Here is a 21,702-nt window from a genome sequence, read left to right on the forward strand (position 1 = left end):
GATTTCTTGGATATAACACCAAAAGCACAAGAAACAAAATGAACAAAAAGATAAACTGGACTACATAAAAATCAGACTGGGTGCAGTGGCTCACGCTTGTAATCCTAGCACTTTGGGAGGCCAAGGCGGGCAGATCACTTGAGGTCAGGAGTTTGAGACCAGTCTGGCCAACACAGTGAAACCCCATTTCTACTAAAAATACAAAAATTAGCCAGGCATGGTGGTGGTCGCCTGTAGTCCCAGCTACTCAGGAGGCTGAGGCAGAAGAATCATTTGAACGCAGGAGGCAGAGGTTGCAGTGAACCGAGACTGTGCCACTGCACTCCAGCCTGGGTGACAGAGCGAGACTCCATCTAAAAAAAAAAAATTAAAACTTTTTGTGCATCAAAGGACACTAACAAGAGAGTAAAAGGGCAATCCACAAAATGGGAGAAAATATTTGCAAAGCAGATCTTCGAAACATAAAGAACTGCTACATCTCAACAACAAATGCAAAACAACTCAATGTAAAAATGGGCAAAGGTCTTGAATATATATTTCTCCAAAGAAGACTTACAAGTGGTCAATAAGGACAAAAAAGATGATCAATATCACTAGTCATAAGGGAAATGTAAATCAAAACTGCAATGAGATACGACTTAACATCCATTAGAATGGCTATTACCAAAAAACTTGAAAATAGCAAGTATTGGCAAGGATATAGAGCAACTGGAAACCTTGTGCATTGCTGGTGGGAATGTAAAATGGTACAGCCACTGTGGTAAAGTTTGGCAGTTCCTCACAAAGTCAAACATTGAATTACATAATCCAGCAATTCCACTTCTAGACATATACCAAAAAGAAAGCAATGGCTCAAACAGATATTTTTACATCAATTTATTAGCAGCATTATTCACAGTAACCAAAAAGTGGAAATAGCCCAAATGTCCATTAACAGATGAATGGATAAATACAATGTAGCATATAGATATATAATGGAATATTATCCATCCTTAGAAAGGAATGAAATTCTGATACATGCTATAAATTGGATGAACATTGAAAATGTTATGTTGAGTAAAATAAGCCAGATACAAAAAGATAAATCCACTTAAATGAGGTACCTAAAATAGGAAAATTCACAGAGACACAAAGTAGAATAGAGATAACTGGGGTCTGGTGGTTAGGAGGTTTTTGTTTAATGGGTACATGAGGTTTTGTTTGGGATGATGAAAAAGCTGTGGAAATGGATACTGGTGATAGGTGCACAACATTATGAATATACTTAATGTAATTGAGTTATACACCTAAAAACGGTTAAACTGGTAAATTTTATGTTATGAACATTTTACTACAATAAAAAAGTGAACACTGGCTGTTTAAAACAAGAATAATAATGTCTCCTGGTACTTAAAACAAAAGTGTAAGTGAAATATCTGGAAATAACAGGACAAAGGTGAAGAGGCTAAAGTGAGTTAACATGTTATGAGCTTCTTACATTGTTCTGAAAAGGGTAAAAGTACTAATTTAAGGTAGAGACTAACTAATCAAGGGCAAATATTGTAACTTTGCCCTTTCTAGCTTAACCCTCTAAAAGAATATATAGCTGTTCTAATCATCTATTACTGTGTAGTAAAGTACCTCAAAACTTAGTAGTGTAAAAACAACCACCATTTTATTATGCTCATAATTATGGGTTACGAATTCTGGTAGGGAATAGTAGGGAAGTCTTGTCTCATCTCCACAATGACTGAGGCTTCAGCGGGGATGACTTGAACAGTAGAAATGGCTGGGATGGCTCAAGTGGGGCCCAATATCAAGGACCTGCATTCTAGCTGTCAGCTAGGTCTCTTGGTTCTTTTCCTTATTACACTTATTGGGCATGGAATATAAAAAATGGCCTTTTCACTTACGTATCTGCTTAAGTGGGCTGTAATATCTGTTAAAACAGGATAGTCAATCATCAATCTCTGGAGGCAACCTCTCCATGAGGCTAGCCTGGGATTCACTTCAGCATGGCAGTTTCAGGGCAGTTATCCTTCCTACATGGTGGCTGTTCTCACTCAGAATGAACATTTCAGGACACAGACTTGGACACTGCAATGCTTTTTATGACCTAGACTAAGAGGTTCCAGAATGTCATGTCCTATTTTAGTGGTTTTAATGGTAAAGCAAGTTACTAAAATAGCCTAGATGAAAGGGAAAATATGACCGATAGGAAGAGGAGGTTCCAAGATGGCCAAATAGGAAGAGCCCCAGTCTACAGCTCCCAGCATGAGCAACGCAGAAGACAGGTGATTTCGGCATTTCCAAGTGAGGTACCGGGTTCATCTCACTGGGGCTTGTCAGACAGTGGGTGCAGCCCAAGGAGCATGAGCCAAAGCAGGGCAACGCACTGCCTCACCCAGGAAGTGCAAGGGGTTGGGGAATTCCCTTTCCTAGCCAAGGGAAGCCGTGACAGATGGTACCTGGAAAATTAGGACACTCCCACCCTAATACTGTGCTTTTCCAACAGTCTTAGCAAACAGCACACCAGGAGATTATATCCTGCACCTGGCTCAGAGGGTCCCACACCCACGGAACCTTGCTCACTACTAACACAGCAGTCTGAGATTGAACTGCAAGGCGGCAGCGAGGCTGGAGGAGAGGCGTCTGCCATTGCTGAGGCTTGAGTAGGTAAACAAAGCAGCCGGGAAGCTCGAATTGGGTGGAGCCCACCAACAGTTCAAGGAGGCCTGCCTGCCTCTGTAGACTCCACCTCTGGGGGCAGGGCATAGCTGAACAAAAGGCAGCAGAAACTTCTGCAGACTTAAACGTCCCTGTCTGACAGCTTTGAAAAGAGTAGTTGTTATCCCAGCATGGAGTTTGAGATGAGAGAATGGGCAGACTGCCTCCTCAAGTGGGTCCCTGACCCCCAAGTAGCCTAACTGGGAGGCACCCCCCAGTAGGGGCAGACTGACACCTCATACGGCCAGGTGCCCCTCTGAGACAAAGCTTCCGGAGGAAGGATTAGGCAGCAACAATTGCCATTCTGCAATATTTGCTGTTCTGCAGCCTCCGCTGGTGATACCCAGGCAAACAAGGTCTGGAGTGGACTTCCAGCAAAGTCCAACAGACCTGCAGCTGCGGGTCCTATTAGAAGGAAAACTAACAAACAGAAAGGACACCCACACCAAAATCCCATCTGTATGTCACCATCATCAAAGACCAAAGGTAGAGAAAACCACAAAGACGGGGAGAAACCAGAGCAGAAAAGCTGAAAATTCTAAATATCAGAATGCCTCTTCTCCTCCAAAGGAATGCAGCTCCTTGCCAGCAACAGAACAAAGCTGGATGGAAAATGACTTTGATGAGTTGAGAGAAGAAGGCTTCAGATGATCAGTAATAACAAACTTCTCCGAGCTAAAGGAGGATGTTCAAACCTATCACAAAGAAGCTAAAAACCTTGAAAAAAGATGAGATGAATGGTTAACTAGAAGAAACAGTGTAGAGAAGACCTTAAATCACTTGATGGAGCTGAAAACCATGGCAAGAGAACTAGGTGATGCATGCACAAGCTTCAGTACCCGATTCAATCAAGTGGAAGAAAGGGTATCAGTGATTGAAGATCAAAAGAATGAAAGGAAGCCAGAAGAGAAGTTTAGAGAAAAAAGAGGAAAAAGAACGAACAAAGCCTCTAAGAAATGTGGGACTATGTGAAAAGATGAAACTTACGTCTGATTGGTGTACCTGAAAGTGATGTGGAGAATGGAATCAAGTTGGAAAACACTCTTAAGAATACTATCCAGGAGAACTTCCCCAACCTAGCAAAACAGGCCAAAATTCAAATTCAGGAAATACAGAGAATGCCACAAAGATACTCCTCGAGAAGAGCAATCCCAAGACACATAATTGTCAGATTCACCAAAGTTGAAATGAAGGAAAAAATATTAAGGGCAGCCAGAGAGAAAGGTCGGGTTACCCACAAAGGGAAACCCATCAGAATAACAGCGGATCTCTCAGCAGAAACTCTACAAGCCAGAAGACAGTGGGGGCCAATATTCAACATTCTTAAAGAAAAGAATTTTCAACCCAGAATTTCATATCCAGCCAAACTAAGCTTCATCAGTGAAGGAAAAATAAAATACTTTACAGACAAGCAAATGCTGAGAGATTTTGTCATCACCAGGCCTCCCTTACAACAGCTCCTGAAGGAAGCACTAAACATGGAAAGGAACAACCAGTACCAGCCACTGCAAAAACATTGTAAAGACCATCGATGCTAGGAAGAAACAACATCAACTAACGAGAAAAATAACCAGCTAACATCATAATGACAGGATCAAATTCACATATAATAATATTAACTTTAAATGTAAATGGGCTAAATGCTCCAACTAAAAGACACAGACTGGCAAATTGGATAAAGATTCAAGACCCATCACTGTGCTGTATTCAGGAGACCCATCTCATGTGCAGAGACACACATAGGCTCAAAATAAAGGGATGGAGGAAGATCTAACAAGCAAATGGAAAACAAACAAACAAAAAAAGCAGGGGCTACAATCCTAGCCTCTGATAAAACAGACTTACACCAACAAAGATCAAAAGAGACAAAGAAGGCCATTACGTAATTATAAAGGGATCAATTCAACAAGAAGAGCTAACTATCCTAAATATATATGCACCCAATACAGGAGCACCCAGATTCATAAAGCAAGTCCTGAGTGACCTACAAAGAGACTTAGACTCCCACACAATAATAATAGGAGACTTTAACACCCCACTGTCAACATGAGACAGATCAACGAAACAGAAGGTTAACAAGGATATCCAGGAATTGAACTCAGCTCTGCACCAAGCAGACCTCATAGACATCTACAGAACTCTCCACCCCAAATCAAGAGAATATACATTTTTACAGCATCACACGACACCTATCCCAAAATTGACCCCATAGTTGGAAGCACTCCTCAGCAAATGTAAAAGAACAGAAATTATAACAAACTGTCTCTCAGACCACAGTGACATCAAACTAGAACTCAGGATTAAGAAACTCACTCAAAACCGCTCAACTACATGGAAACTGAACAACCTGCTCCTGAATGACTACTGGGTACATAACAAAATGAAGGCAGAAATAAAGATGTTCTTTGAAACCAACCAGAACAAAGACACAACATACCAGAATCTCTGGGACACATTTAAAGTAGTGTGTAGACAGAAATTTATAGCACTAAATTACCACCAGAGAAAGCAGGAAAGATCTACAATTGACACCCTAACATCACAATTAAAAGAACTAGAGAAGCAAGAGCAAAAACATTCAAAAGCTAGCAGAAGGCAAGAAATAACTAAGTTCAGAGCGGAACTGAAAGAAATAGAGACACAAAAAACCCTTCAAAAAATCAATGAATCCAGGAGCTGGGTTTTTAAAAAGATCAACAAAATTGATAGACCACTAGCAAGACTAATAAAGAAGAAAAGAGAGAAGAATCAAATAGACGCAATAAAAAATGATAAAGGGGATATCACCACCGATCCCACAGAAATACAAACTACCATCAGAGAATACTATAAACACCTCTACGCAAATAAACTAGAAAATCTAGAAGAAATGGATAAATTCCTGGATACATACACCCTCCCAAGACTAAACCATGAAGATGAATCCCTGAATAGACCAATAACAGGCCCTGAAATTGAGGCAATAATTAATAGCCTACCAACCAAAAAAAAGTCCAGGACCAGACGGATTCACAGCCGAATTCTACCAGAGGTACAAAGAGGAGCTGCTACCATTCCTTCTGAAACTATCCCAATCAATAGAAAAAGAAGGAATCCTCCCTAACTCATTTTATGAGGCCAACATCATCCTGACACCAAAGCCTGGCAGAGACACAACAAAAAAAGAGAATTTTAGACCAATATCCCTGATGAACATCGATGCAAAAACCCTCCATAAAATACTGGCAAACCGCATCCAGCAGCACATCAAAAAGCTTATCCACAGGGTGGAGCCAAGATGGCCGAATAGGAACAGCTCCAGTCTACAGCTCCCAGCATGAGCGACGCAGAAGACAGGTGATTTCTGAATTTCCATCTGAGGTACCAGGTTCATCTCACTACGGAGTGCCAGGCAGTGGGTGTAGGACACTGGGTACAGCGCACCGTGCACGAGCTGAAGCAGGGCAAGGCATTGCCTCACTCCGGCAGCGCAAGGGGTCAGGGAGTTCCCTTTCCTAGTCAAAGAAAGGGGTGACAGATGGCACCTGGAAAATCCAGTCACTTCCCATCCTAATACTGCACTTTTGCAACGGGCTTAAAAAACGGCACACCAGGAGATTATATCCCACACATGGCTCGGAGGGTCCTACGCCCACGGAGTCTTGCTGATTGCTAGCACAGCAGTCTGAGATCAAACTGCAAGGCAGCAGCAAGGCTGGAGGAGGGGTGCCTGCCATTGCCCAGGCTTGATTTGGTAAACAAAGCAGCCGGGAAGCTCCAACTGGATGGAGCCCACCACAGCTCAAGGAGGCCTGCCTGCCTCTGTAGGCTCCACCTCTGGGGGAAGGGCACAGACAAACAAAAAGACAGCAGTAACCTCTGCAGACTTACATGTCCCTGTCTGACAGCTTTGAAGAGAGTAGTGGTTCTCCCAGCATGCAGCTGGAGATCTGAGAATGGGCAGACTGCCTCCTCAAGTGGGTCCCTGACCCCCGAGCAGCCTAACTGGGAGGCACCCCCCAGTAAGGGCAGACTGACAACTCACGCAGCAGGGTACTCCTCTGAGACAAAACTTCCAGAGGAACGATCAGGCAGCAGCATTTGCAGGTCACCAATATCCACTGTTCTATAGCCACCGCTGTTCTGCAGCCACCACTGCTGATACCCAGGCAAACAGGGTCTGGAGTGGACCTCTAGCAAACTCCAACGGACCTGTAGCTGAGGGTCCTGTCTGTCAGAAGGAAAACTAACAAATAGAAAGGACATCCACACCAAAAACCCATCTGTATGTCACCATAATCAAACACCAAAAGTAGATAAAACCACAAAGATGGGGAAAAAACAGAGCAGAAAAACTGGAAACTCTAAAAAGCAGAGCACCTCTCCTCCTCCAAAGGAACGCAGCTCCTCACCAGCAATGGAACAAAGCTGGATGGAGAATGACTTTGACGAGCTGAGAGAAGAAGGCTTCAGACGATCAAACGACTCCGAGCTACAGGAGGAAATTCAAACCAATGGCAAAGAAGTTAAAAACTTTGAAAAAAAAATTAGACGAATGGATAACTAGAATAATCAATGCAGAGAAGTGCTTAAAGGAGCTGATGGAGCTGAAAGCCGAGGCTCGAGAACTACGTGAAGAATGCAGAAGCCTCAGGAGCCGACGCGATCAACTGGAAGAAAGGGTATCAGTGATGGAAGATGAAATGAATGAAATGAATGAAATGAAGTGAGAAGGGAAGTTTAGAGAAAAAAGAATAAAAAGAAACGAACAAAGCCTCCAAGAAATATGGGACTACGTGAAAAGACCAAATCTACGTCTGATTGGTGTACCTGAAAGTGATGGGGAGAATGGAACCAAGTTGGAAAACACTCTGCAGGATATTATCCAGGAGAACTTCCCCAATCTAGCAAGGCAGGCCAACATTCAGATTCAGGAAATACAGAGAACACCACAAAGATACTCCTTGAGAAGAGCAACTCCAAGACACATAATTGTCAGATTCACCAAAGTTGAAATGAAGGAAAAAATGTTAAGGGCAGCCAGAGAGAAAGGTCGGGTTACCCACAAAGGGAAGCCCATCAGACTAACAGCGGATCTCTCAGCAGAAACTCTACAAGCCAGAAGACAGTGGGGGCCAATATTCAACATTCTTAAAGAAAAGAATTTTCAACCCAGAATTTCATATCCAGCCAAACTAAGCTTCATCAGTGAAGGAGAAATAAAATACTTTACAGACAAGCAAATTCTGAGACATTTTGTCACCACCAGGCCTGCCCTAAAAGAGCTCCTGAAGGAAGCACTAAACATGGAAAGGAACAACCGGTACCAGCCACTGCAAAATCATGCCAAAATGTAAAGACCATCAAGGCTAGGAAGAAACTGCATCAACTAACGAGCAAAATAACCAGCTAACATCATAATGACAGGACCAAATTTACACATAACAATATTAACTTTAAATGTAAATGGGCTAAATGCTCCAATTAAAAGACACAGACTGGCAAATTGGATAAAGAGTCAAGACCCATCAGTGTGCTGTATTCAGGAAACCCATCTCATGTGCAGAGACACACATAGGCTCAAAATAAAAGGATGGAGGAAGATCTGCCAAGCAAATGGAAAACAAAAAAAGGCAGGGGTTGCAATCCTAGTCTCTGATAAAACAGACTTTAAACCAACAAAGATCAAAAGAGACAAAGAAGGCCATTACGTAATGATAAAGGGATCAATTCAACAAGAAGAGCTAACTATCCTAAATATATATGCACCCAATACAGGAGCACCAAGATTCATAAAGCAAGTCCTGAGTGACCTACAAAGGGACTTAGACTCCCACACAATAATAATGGGAGACTTTAACACCCCACTGTCAACATTAGACAGATCAACGAGACAGAAAGTTAACAAGGATACCCAGAAATTGAACTCAGCTCTGCACCAAGCGGACCTAATAGACATCTACAGAACTCTCCACCCCAAATCAACAGAATATACATTTTTTTTTAGCACCACACCACACCTATTCCAAAATTGACCACATAGTTGGAAGTAAAGCTCTCCTCAGCAAATGTAAAAGAACAGAAATTATAAAAAACTGTCTCTCAGACCACAGTGACATCAAACTAGAACTCAGGATTAAGAATCTCACTCAAAACCGCTCAACTACATGGAAACTGAACAACCTGCTCCTGAATGACTACTGGGTACATAACAAAATGAAGGCAGAAATAAAGACGTTCTTTGAAACCAACGAGAACAAAGGCACAACATACCAGAATCTCTGGGACACATTCAAAGCAGTGTGTAGAGGGAAATTTATAGCACTAAATGCCCACAAGAGAAAGCAGGAAAGATCCAAAATTGACACCCTAACATCACAATTAAAACAACTAGAAAAGCAAGAGCAAACACATTCAAAAGCTAGCAGAAGGCAAGAAATAACTAAAATCAGAGCAGAACTGAAGGAAATAGAGACACAAAAAACGCTTCAAAAAATTAATGAATTCAGGAGCTGGTTTTTTGAAAAGATCAACAAAATTGATAGACTGCTAGCAAGACTAATAAAGAAAAAAGAGAGAAGAATCAAATAGATGCAATAAAAAATGATAAAGGGGATATCACCACCAATCCCACAGAAATACAAACTACCATCAGAGAATACTACACAGACCTCTATGCAAATAAACTAGAAAATCTAGAAGAAATGGATAAATTCCTTGACACATACACCCTCCCAAGACTAAACCAGGAAGAAGTTGAATCTCTGAATAGACCAATAACAGGATCTGAAATTGTGGCAATAATCAATAGCTTACCAACCAAAAAAAGTCCAGGACCAGATGGATTCACAGCTGAATTCTACCAGAGGTACAAGGAGGAACTGGTACCATTCCTTCTGAAACTATTCCAATCAATAGAAAAAGAGGGAATCCTCCCTAACTCTTTTTATGAGGCCAGCATTATCCTGATACGAAAGCCAGGCAGAGACACAACCGAAAAAGAGAATTTTAGGCCAATATCCTTGATGAACATTGATGCAAAAATCCTCAATAAAATACTGGCCAACCAAATCCAGCAGCACATCAAAAAGCTTATCCACCATGAGCAAGTGGGCTTCATCCCTGGGATGCAAGGCTGCTTCAACATATGCAAATGAATAAATGTAATCCAGCATATAAACAGAACCAAAGACAAAAAACACATGATTATCTCAATAGATTCAGAAAAGGCCTTTGACAAAATTCAACAACCCTTCATGCTAAAAACTCTCAATAATTTAGGTATTGATGGGACGTATCTCAAAATAATAAGAGATATCTATGACAATCCCACAGCCAATATCATACTGAATGGGCAAAAACTGGAAGCATTCCCTTTGAAAACGGGCACAAGACAGGATGCCCTCTCTCACCACTCCTATTCAGCATAGTGTTGGAAGTTCTGGCCAGGGCAATTAGGCAGGAGAAGGAAATAAAGGGTATTCAATTAGGAAAAGAGGAAGTCAAATTGTCCCTGTTTGCAGACGACATGATTGTATATCTAGAAAACCCCATCATTTCAGCCCAAAATCTCCTTAAGCTGATAAGCAACTTCAGTAAAGTCTCAGGATACAAAATCAATGTACAAAAATCAGAAGCATTCTTATACACCAATAACAGACAAACAGAGAGCCAAATCATGAGTGAACTCCCATTCACAATTGCTTCAAAGAGAATAAAATACCTGGGAATCCAACTTACAAGGGATGTGAAGGACCTCTTCAAGGAGAACTACAAACCACTACTCAGTGATATAAAAGAGGATACAAACAAATGGAAGAACATTCCATGCTCATGGGTAGGAAGAATCAATATCGTGAAAATGGCCCTACTGCCCAAGGTAATTTATAGATTCAATGCCATCCCCATCAAGCTACCAATGACTTTCTTCACAGAATTGGAAAAGACTACTTTAAGGTTCATATGGAACCAAAAAAAGAGCCCACATAGCCAAGTGAATCCTAAGCCAAAAGAACAAAGCTGGAGGCATCACACTACCTGACTTCAAACTATACTACAAGGCTACAGTAACCAAAACAGCATGGTACTGGTACCAAAACAGAGATATAGATCAATGGAGCAGAACAGAGTCCTCAGAAATAATGCCGCATATCTACAACCATCTGCTCTTTGACAAACCTGAGAAAAACAAGCAATGGGGAAAGGATTCCCTATTTAATAAATGGTGCTGGGAAAACTGGCTAGCCATAGGTAGAAAGCTGAAACTGGATCCCTTCCTTACACCTGATACAAAAATTAACTCAAGATGGATTAAAGACTTACATGTTAGACCTAAAACTATAAAAACCCTGGAAGAAAACCTAGGCAATACCATTCAGGACATAGGCATAGGCAAGGACTTCATGTCTGAAACACCAAAAGCAATGGCAACAAAAGCCAAAATTGACAAATGGGATCTAATTAAACTTAAGAGCTTCTGCACAGCAAAAGAAACTACCATCAGAGTGAACAGGCGACCTACAAAATGGGAGAATATTTTTGCAACCTACTCATCTGACAAAGGGCTAATATCAAGAATCTACAATGAACTCAAACAAATTTACAAGAGAAAAAAAAACCCATCAAAAAGTGGGCCAAGGATATGAACAGACACTCCTCAAAAGAAGACATTTATGCAGCCAAAAAACACATGAAAAAATGCTCATCATCACTGGCTGTCAGAGAAATGCAAATCAAAACCACAATGAGATACCATCTCATACCAGTTAGAATGGCGATCATTAAAAAGTCAGGAAACAACAGGTGCTGGAGAGGATGTGGAGAAACAGGAACACTTTTACACTGTTGGTGGGACTGTAAACTAGTTCAACCATTGTGGAAGTCAGCACGGCAATTCCTCAGGGATCTAGAACTAGAAATACCATTTGACCCAGCCATCCCATTACTGGGTATACACCCAAAGGATTATAAATATAAAGACACATGCACACGTATGTTTATTGCGGCACTATTCACAATAGCAAAGACTTGGAACTAACCCAAATGCCTAACAACGATAGACTGGATTAAGAAAATGTGGCACATATACACCATGGAATACTATGCAGCCATAAAAAATGATGAGTTCATGACCTTTGTAGGAACATGGATAAAACTGGAAACCGTCATTCTTAGCAAGCTATGGCAAGAACAAAAAACCAAACACCACATGTTGTCACTCATAGGTGGGAATTGAACAATGAGAACACATAGGCACAGGAAGGGGAACATCACACTCCAGGGACTGTTGTGGGGTGGGGGGAGGGGGGAGGGATAGCATTAGGAGATATACCTAATGCTAAATGATGAGTTAATGGGTGCAGTACACCAACACGGCACATGTATACATATGTAAGAAACCTGCACATTGTGCACATGTACCCTAAAACTTAAAGTATAATAATAATAAAATTTTAAAAAAAAGCCTTATCCACCATGATCAAGTCGGCTTCATCCCTGGGATGCAAGGCTGGTTCAACGTACACAAATCAATAAATGTAATCCAGCATATAAACAGAACCAATTACAAAAACCACATGATTATCTCAATAGATGCAGAAACGGCCTTCAATAAAATTCAACAGCTCTTCATGCTAAAAACTCTCAATAAACTAGGTACTGATGGGACGTGTTTCAAAATAATAACAGCTATTTATGACAAACCCACAGCCAATATCATACTGAATGGGCAAAAACTGGAAGCATTCCCTTTGAAAACTGGCACAAGACAGGGATGCCCTCTCTCACCACTCCTATTCAACATAGTGTTGGAAGTTCGGGCAGGGCAATCAGGCAGGAGAAAGAAATAAAGGGTATTCAATTAGGAAGAGAGGAAGTCAAATTGTCTCTGTTTGCAGACGACATGATTGTATATTTAGAAAACCCCATCATCTCAGCCCAAAATCTCCTTAAGCTGATAAGCAACTTCAGCAAAGTCTCAAGATACAAAATCAATGTGCAAAAATCACAAGCATTCCTATACACCAATAACAGACAAACAGAGAGCCAAATCATGAGTGAACTCCCATTCACAATTGCTACAGAGAATAAAATATCTAGGAATCCAACTTACAAGGGATGTGAAGGACCTCTTCAAGGAGAACTACAAACCACTGCTCAACAAAATAAAAGAGGACACAAACAAATGGAAGAACATTCCATGCTCATGGGTAGGAAGAATCAATATTGTGAAAATGGCCACACTGCCCAAGGTAATTTATAGATTCAATGCCATCCCCATCAAGCTACCAATGACTTTCTTCACAGAATTGGAAAAGACTACTTTAAAGTTCACATGGAACCAAAAAAGAGCCTGCATTGCCAAGACAATCCTAAGCCAAAAGAACAAAGCTGGAGGCATCACGCTACCTGACTTCAAAGTCTACTACAAGGCTACAGTAACCAAAACAGCATGGTACTGGTACCAAAACAGAGATATAGATCAATGGAACAGAACAAAGTTCTCAGAAATAATACCACACATCTACAACCATCTGATCTTTGACAAACCTGAGAAAAACAAGCAATGGGGAAAGGATTCCCTATTTAATAAATGGTGCTGGGAAAACTGGTTAGCCATAGGTAGAAAGCTGAAACTGGATCCCTTCCTTACACCTTATAAAAAATTAATTCAAGATGGATTAAAGACTTAAACGTTAGACCTAAAACCATAAAAACCCTAGAAGAAAACCTAGGCAATACCATTCAGGACATAGGCATGGGCAAGGACTTCATGACTAAAACACCAAAAGCAATGGCAACAAAAGCCAAAATTGACAAATGGGATCTAATTAAACTAAAGAGCTTCTGCACAGCAAAAGAAACTACCATCAGAGTGAACAGGCAACCTACAGAATGGGAGAAAATTTTTCCAATCTACCCATATGACAAAGGGCTAATATCAAGAATCTACAAAGAACTTAAACAAATTTACAAGAAAAAAATCAAACCACCCCATCAAAAAGTGGGCAAAGGATATGTCTTCTCAAAAGAAGACATTTATGCAGCCAACAGACACATGAAAAAATGCTCATCATCACTGGCCATCAGAGAAATGCAAATCAAAACCACAATGAGATACCATCTCACACCAGTAAGAATGGGAATCACTAAAAAGTCAGGAAACAACAGGTGCTGGAGAGGATGTGGAGAAATAGGAACACTTTTACACTGTTGGTGGGACTGTAAACTAGTTCAACCATTGTAGAAGACAGTGTGGCAATTCCTCAAGGATCTAGAACCAGAAATACCATTTGAGCCAGCCATCCCATTACTGGGTGTATATCCAAAGGATTATAAATCATGCTGCTATAAAGACACATGCACACGTATGTTTACTGCAGCACTATTCACAATAACAAAGACTTGGAACCAACCCAAATGTCCATCAATGATAGACTGGATTAAGAAAATGTGGCACATACACACCATGGAATACTATGCAGCCATATAAAAGGATGAGTTCATGTCCTTCGTAGGGACATGGATGAAGCTGGAAACCATCATTCTGAGCAAACTATCACAAGGACAGAAAACCAAACACCGCATGTGCTCCCTCATAGGTGGGAATTAAACAATGAGAACACTTGGACACAGGGTGGGGAACATCACACACCAGGGCCTGTCGTGGGGTGGGGGGAGGGGGGAGGGATAGCATTAGGAGATATACCTAATGTAAACGATGAGTTAATGCGTGCAGCACACCAACATGGCACATGTATACATTTGTAACAACCTGCACGTTGTGCATGTACCCTAGAACTTAAAGTATAATTAAAAAAAAAAGAAAAAAGAAAAAAAAAAGAAAGGGAAAATATTGCCACCTCCTGTCAACAGGAGAAATAGAAAACAACTTATGGCATCTTTAATCAATCAAAATAACTAAAAAGTTAATAGAGAAGAAAATAATGACAAACTAACAATATTTAATTACCACCAAGAAAGGGAAAAGGGAGGGGAAAATACAGGAAGAACAGATCAGATAAGTAGAAAACAAACAGCAAGATGGTAGCCTTAAGCCCAATGAATACAGTAATTACAATAAATATAAATGGTCTAAACATGCTAATTAAAAGACAAAGATTATTTAGAATTATGCAAAATTAAATCCAACTGTATTTTGTTTACAAGAGACACAATTTAAATATAAGGGCACAAAAAGATGAAAAGTAAAAGAATAGGAAAAGATGTCATGTAGGTACTCACCAAAAGAACACTAGGGTAGCTATAACAATATAAAATAAAATGTTCTTTCAGACAAGAAGTACTGTAAAATATACGAAATATCTATTGAAGTGATCACATGCTTTTTGTCCTTTATTCTGTTAATGTGGTCATCGCATTTATTGATTTGTATATGTTGAACCACCTTGCACACAAAGGATAAATCTCACTTGATCATTATTTTAATGTGCTGTTAAATTCAGTTTGCTAGTATTTGGTTGAAGATCCTATTCATCTATGTTCATCAGGGGCATTAGCCTGTAATTTTATGATAGCATCCTCATCTGGCTTTGGTATCCAACTCATGTTGGCTTTGTAAATGAGGTTAGAAGTATGCTCTCCTCTTTAATTTTTTGAAAGAGTTTGAAAAGGGCAGATTATTATTTCTTCTTTAAATATTTAGTAGAATTCAACAGCAAGGTCATCAGTGAATTCAACAGTGAAGCCATCCTGGGCTTTTCTTTGACGGGAGGTTTTTTATTACTGATCCAATTTTCTTACTCATTATTGGTCTATTCATATTTTCTATTTCTTCATGATTCAGTCTTGGGAGGTTACATGTATCTAAGAATTTGCCCATTTCTTCTAAGTTATCCTATTTATTGGCTTATAATTGTTCATAGTAGTTTCTTATTATCTTTTGTATTTCTGTAGTATCAGTTGTAATGTCTCATCTTTCATTTCTGATTTTATTTATTTGAGTCTTCTTTTTTTTTTTTTTTGAGACACTTTCACTCTTGTTGCCCAGGCTGGGGTGCAATGGCATGATCTCAGCTCACTGCAACCTCTGCCCCCTGGGTTCAAGTGATTCTCCTGCCTCAGCCTTCCGAGTAGTTGGGATTACAGGCATGTGCCACCATACCTGGCTAATTTTGTATTTTTAGTAGAGACGAGGTTTCTCCATGTTGGTCAGTCTGGTCTTGAACTCCCGACCTCAGGTGATCCGCCCACCTTGGCCTCCCAAAGTGCTGGGATTACAGGCGTGAGCCACTGCACCAGGCCTACTTTTACATTTTTGTTTATTTATTTATTTATTTATTTACTTTTAGAGATGTAGTCTCACTATGCTGCCAAGGCTGGACTCAAACTCTTGGGCTAAAGTGATCTTTCTGCCTCAGTCTCCCAGGTAGCTGAGACTACAGACGTGTGCCACCACACCTGATTTTCTTGTTTTTATTAGTTAGTCTAGTTAAAGATTTGCCAATTTTGTTTATCTTTTCAAAAACCCAACTCCTGGTTTTGTTGATCTTTTCTATTGTTTTTCTAGTTTTTATTTCAATCATTTCTGCTCTAATCTTTATTTCCTTCCTTCTGATAACTTTGGTCTTAGTTTGTTCTTCTGTTTCTAGTTCCTTGAAGTGTAACATTAGGTTGTTTGAGATCTTTCTTGTTTTGTGATGTAGGCATTTATTGCTATGAAATTCCCCTTTAGAATTGCCTTTGCTGCATCCCATACGTTTTGGTATGTTGTGTCTCCATTTTGTTTGTCTCAATATATTCCTTAATTTACCTTTAAAGGTCACATATGACAAGCCCACAGCTAACATCATACTCAATGGTGAAAAGTTAAAAGTTTCTTCTCTAAGATCAGGAACATGGATGCCCCTGCTTACTACTTGTATTCAACATGGCACTGGAAGTCTCAGCCAGAGAAATTAGGCAACAGAAAGAAATAAGACATACAAATTGAAAAGGAAGATGTTAAATTGTCTCTGTTTCCAGATGACATGATCTTATATACAGAAGACCTTAAAGACTCTTATCAAAAAACTGTTAAAAATAATAAGCAAATTTAGTAAAGTTACAAACTCAACATACAAAAATCAATGGTGTTTCTATAAACCAAAGATAGAAAGTTCACAAAGGAAAAGTAAAACTGTCATCATTCAAAGATAACATGACTAAGAAAATCCAAAGGAATTTATAAAAAAGCAATTAGAGGCCAGGCACAGTGGCTCATGCCTGTAATCCCAGCACTTTGGGAGGTCGAGGCGGGCGGATCACGAGGTCAGGAGTTCGAGACCAGACTGACCAACATAGTGAAATCCCATCTCTACTAAAAATACAAAAATTAGTCAGGTGTGGCGGCACATGCCTGTAATCCCAGCTACTCGGGAGGCTGAGGCAGGAGAATCGCTTGAACCCAGGAAGCGGTGGTTGCAGTGAGCTGAGATCACATCACTGCACTCCAGCCTGGGTGACAGAGCAAGACTCCACCTCAAAAAAAAAAAAAAAAAAAAAAAAACATGGAGAGAAATTTAAGATCCAAAGACATGGGCCAGCTGTGGTGGTTCATGCCTGTAATCCCAGAACTTTGGGAGGCCAAGGTGGGTAGATCACTTGAGCTCAGGAGTTAAGAGACCAGCACGGGCAACACGGCAAGACACCCCATCTACAAAAAGTACAGAAAGTATCCAGGCATGGTGACCCATGCCTGTAGTCCCAGCTATTTGGGAGGCTGAGGCAGGAGAATTGCTTGAACCTGGGAGGTGGAGATTTCAGTGAGCTGAGATTGTGCCACTGCACTCCAGCCTAGGCAACAGGGTGAGACTCTGTCTTAAATAAACAAATAAATATACACAAATAGACCAATGCAACAGAATAGACACTATAGAAACACTTTACATATATGATTACATGATTTAAACAATGGCACCACAGCAATTCATTGTGAAAAGGATGGTATTTTCAAAGGTATTTGATCAGTTGGATATCCATAAGAAAAAAATGAACTTTGTACCTCTAAGTATACACAACAATTAATTTGAGATGGATACTATATATCAATCTGAAACTAAAGCAATTAAGCCTCTAGAACAAACATAAGGAAAATATCTTCTGACTAGGTTAGACAAAATTTCTTAAACAGGACCCAGAAAGCACTAACCATGAAGAAAAAGTGGTGGCTGGGCATGGTGGCTCACCTCTGTAATCTCAGCACTTTCGGAGGCCAAGGTGGGAGGACTGCTTGAGGCCAGGAGTTCAACACCAGCCTTGGCAACATACCTAGACCCTGTCTCTACAAAAAATTAAAAAATTAGCCAGGCATGGTAGTGCACACCTGTAGTCCAAACAGGAGGCTGAGGCAGGAGGATTGCTTGAGCCCAGGAGTTCAAGGTTACAGTGAACTGTGATCATGCAACTGCACTCTAGCATGGGCAAAAGAGTGAAACCCTATCAAAGAAAGAAAAAAAAAAGAAAGAAAGAAAGGAAAGAAGGAAAGAAAGAGAAAAAGTCACAAATTGGACTTTATTAAAATTAAAGACTTCTTTTCATTAAGAACATCTTAGAGGAACGAGGCAAGCCTGGGAGAAGATATTCAACACATATAGTATTTAACAAAGGACTTGCATTCAGGATGTATGAACTCCTCCAGAGAATACTTATAACGTAATAGTACAGGTAATAGATCTTGGCGGTTTGAAGATGGAGAGGAGAGGTAAAGAAAAGGGTAGGGATACTTTGTTCTCATCATATATAATGGGAAGTCAAGTGATTCTATGTCAGCCTGATGGAACAAGAAACTAAGACTTAAATATTCTTTAAACCAATAAGGTAATAAAATAGAGGAATTAAAAAAAAACATGATGATACTGGGAGGGGAGATAAGCAGGGCTGTGGAGGGTAAGTAACCTACCCTCTCAATTATCTTTGCAGAAAGCCAACAGATTACTTCTAAAGTTAATAAAAGATAATTGTACACGCACATTATTTAGAAGCATGGAAGTAACTACTAGAAGATCTACAATAAAAATAGTTAAAAATGGGCCAGGCGCGGTGGCTCACACCTGTAATCCCAGCACTTAGGGAGGGAGAGGTGGGTGGATCACTAGGTCAGGAGTTCAAGATCAGCCTGGCCAAGATGGTGAAACCTCATCTCTACTAAAAATACAAAAAACTCAGCTGGGTGTGGTAGTGGGCGCCTGTAATCCCAGGTACTCGGGAGGCTGAGGCAGAGAACTGATTGAACCTGGGAGGCGAAGGTTGCAGTGAGCCGAGATTGCACCACTGCATTCCAGCCTGGGCAACAGAGCAAGACTCCATCTCAAAAAAAGAAAGTTAAAAACGGTTGCTTTTAGTGTATGAGGGTGAAAGAAAGTAGGATGGGGTAAAATATTTATTTTTCATAATAAATTATTCTATATTACTTATTAAAGAAGTACTCATGTTACTTTGATTAAAATATTTAATTTTTTAAAATCCCTACATTTACATTACTATAACTATGCAAATAATTCACTTCTACAGCCAAGCAATGTGCTAAAACTATGCATCCTTTTTTTAGAAGTCACCCACTTGACTGTATCTAGAATCAAGATGCTGTGTCTAGAATCAAGAGCAAATGTATTCTCTTCACATCTTAGAACAATTTTAATCTGTCATATCTGAACCATGACTTTCACAGTTAGCTCTTTTTCAGAGTTTCTAACCTCTTTTTTCTAAATCCAGCCTCTGTCATACTTTCTATTGCATGGGGTACCATTTTCCTCCCATATATAACCCTCTTAGAGGCACTCAATATCCTGATCTAATTTAAATTTATTACTATTTTTGTTTTCTTCAGGTTCTATCTTTTTTTTCTTTCTTTTTCTTTTTGTTTTGACATTATTGGTTTTCCCTAAAAGTGAACCTTGGGTGTGGTGGCACGTGCCGGTATCCCACCTACTCGGGAGGCTGAGGCACGAGAATCACTTGAACTGGGAGGCGCCAAAATTACACCACTGCATTGCAGCCTGGGAGACAGAGCAAGACTCTGTCTCAAAAAAAAAAAAAAAAAAAAAAAGAGGTGGTTGGAGAAGATCACCAGACAGGAAGTCTAGCTTCTGGTCTTTGTTCAGAGTCAGCATGGTCTTCAAAGAGGGTTAGATGCTCAGGCCAGCCTCTCAGGATCAGCACAAATCATGCAGTGGTGAACAGACTTGGGTGTCGTTTCCCCCAGGTGTGGGTGAAATTCCTAGACTAGACCAGATATCATTGGGTAAAAGGTGTGCCTGTTTAACATTTGGATAAATATCACTATTGTCCAACATACAGAAGTTTCTGTCCACACCACCTCCTCTCAGAACAAGAATGCCTATTTCCCCATGCCCTAACCAACTCATATTTTTAAGTATTTTATTAATTTTTTGACTAGGTAATGTTTGCAGATGGCACAAAATTTAAAAAAGTAGGGAAGGGCATGCAGTGAGAGGTCTCCACATTCCCGTCACAGCCATCCCAGTCCTGTCCCCAGAACCACAAACTTTGATCTCAGCCTTTCTGGTAAATGGAAAGTGGTATCTCACTCAATAAATCTCACAATTATGTGGGAAAAAAAAAGTGAACCTTGGTTGTCCATTAATACTTAAGAATGAAAGTCTGTGTCAGTTTTTCTAGGCGCTAGTACGAGTATCTTTTGTTAGTATTCTGTCTACCCAGTGTTCTCACTCAGGAGTGGGAAAATTGCCTGGGGGCTTCATGACATGAGTGGAGTAAGTAATTACCAGGCTTTCTCTAATGGGTATCGTCAAGTAGCCAGCTATTAAGCAGGGTGTCTCTCAAATACCAAAATTAAGAGGCAACACAACAAAATTAAGAGGGTTTCACTGTGGAATGCCAAATTCATGCTAGAACTAGCTTTCTCAGATAGTTCATTTGATTTTTCATTTTTCATTTTTTTTTAAAAAAGAGATAAGACTCCAGGGTTTCTTTGTGTCTTTTTTGCCTAATAGTATGTATCTGTCTACAAGCAGATTTGTGACTAGCAGTAAACATCCACCTACCTGCAGCTCTTGGTCTGCAAAAGACTGGAGACAACTGGCACAGCTGCCCCATATACAGACCTTCAATTAACCCCTGTCTTCAGTCCTTCTCCTTCCAGCTCTTTTAAATTGTTAACTCCAAATTCATATCCTCTCTGGGGTTCCAATGGCAAACCAATTCCCTCATTGGAACCCCTATGAAATGTGTCTAGGCAAGTGTTTCTACAGTTTTTCCAAAGGATGCTATCATCTATTTTTAGTTTTCCAAAAATTAGATAAAATTTTTATCTGCTCATGAACCCCCTTCTCTTTGTTATGGATTAACCTTCTACACAGTGTCGTTTCAATGGGGTTCTGGAGAGATAGAAGGTGAAAATGTGTCCTCCGTCTACACACACACACACACACACACACACACACACACACACACACACCTCTTTATTTACATGGCTTCTCTGCTGAAGCTCCTTCAAGGGCAAGGATGTATTCTGAAATGCCTAGCACAATGTCAGGAACACAACAGCTAGTCAAAGGTGTGTGGCTGGTTGGATGTGAGAGAAAATAGCTGCAAACGATAGAAAAGCTTACGCCTAGATGATGTGTATGTCAATCAAAACCAACTAAGGAAGAATAAGTTTTAAAAGAAGATTAGCTGGGTATAACAGTGCTCGGCTATAGGGCAAGTTACTTGGGAAGCTGAGGTTGGAGGATCACTTGAGCCCAGGAGTTTGAGACCATCCTGGGCAACATAGTGAGATCCCTGTATCTTAAAAAAACACATATTATTTTAGTGTTAGAAATCAACATAGTTATACCCCAGCATAGGTTTTATGGCCTTGGTAGAGGCAAATAATGAAGCAACTTTACAAAATGGGATTAACTGATACAAAGGTGGTCTTGTAAGCCATAAAACCTTTGTATCAGTGTGTGCTAGAAACAGAGCCATATTACTTCACTTAAAATTACCAGGCACAGAGTCCTGCTGCTATCAGAGAGAAAAGAGTGAGGTCATTTT

At 40.2% G+C, this 21,702-nt stretch overlaps 1 protein-coding gene across 28 annotated transcripts in view, besides 4 other annotated features; it reads right to left on the reverse strand.

Annotated features, from left to right (window-relative positions):
• The window catches only part of C11orf65 (chromosome 11 open reading frame 65), a 161,363-nt gene that overhangs the window by 130,131 nt on the left and 9,530 nt on the right, over window positions 1-21,702 (reverse strand). The gene's annotated exons all lie outside the window — the stretch shown is intronic.
• Window positions 208-352: an enhancer, noted in NCBI's record as "145 bp 11:108309656 sequence used in MPRA reporter constructs". NCBI's record gives its function as "activates a minimal TATA-containing promoter with rs12289561 allelic activity by MPRAs in UACC903 melanoma cells {active_cell/tissue: UACC903}" and the evidence as "EXISTENCE:reporter gene assay evidence [ECO:0000049][PMID:36423637]".
• Window position 280: a transcriptional cis regulatory region, noted in NCBI's record as "rs12289561 or 11:108309656 MPRA-significant variant associated with a GWAS melanoma risk locus at 11q22.3". NCBI's record gives its function as "allelic transcriptional activity by MPRAs in UACC903 melanoma cells {active_cell/tissue: UACC903}" and the evidence as "EXISTENCE:reporter gene assay evidence [ECO:0000049][PMID:36423637]".
• Window positions 13,813-13,957: an enhancer, noted in NCBI's record as "145 bp 11:108323261 sequence used in MPRA reporter constructs". NCBI's record gives its function as "activates a minimal TATA-containing promoter with rs377067236 allelic activity by MPRAs in C283T melanocytes and UACC903 melanoma cells {active_cell/tissue: C283T | UACC903}" and the evidence as "EXISTENCE:reporter gene assay evidence [ECO:0000049][PMID:36423637]".
• Window position 13,885: a transcriptional cis regulatory region, noted in NCBI's record as "rs377067236 or 11:108323261 MPRA-significant variant associated with a GWAS melanoma risk locus at 11q22.3". NCBI's record gives its function as "allelic transcriptional activity by MPRAs in C283T melanocytes and UACC903 melanoma cells {active_cell/tissue: C283T | UACC903}" and the evidence as "EXISTENCE:reporter gene assay evidence [ECO:0000049][PMID:36423637]".

Source organism: Homo sapiens, chromosome 11 (assembly GCF_000001405.40).
Source record: "Homo sapiens chromosome 11, GRCh38.p14 Primary Assembly".
NCBI classification, from domain to species: Eukaryota; Metazoa; Chordata; class Mammalia; order Primates; family Hominidae; genus Homo; species Homo sapiens.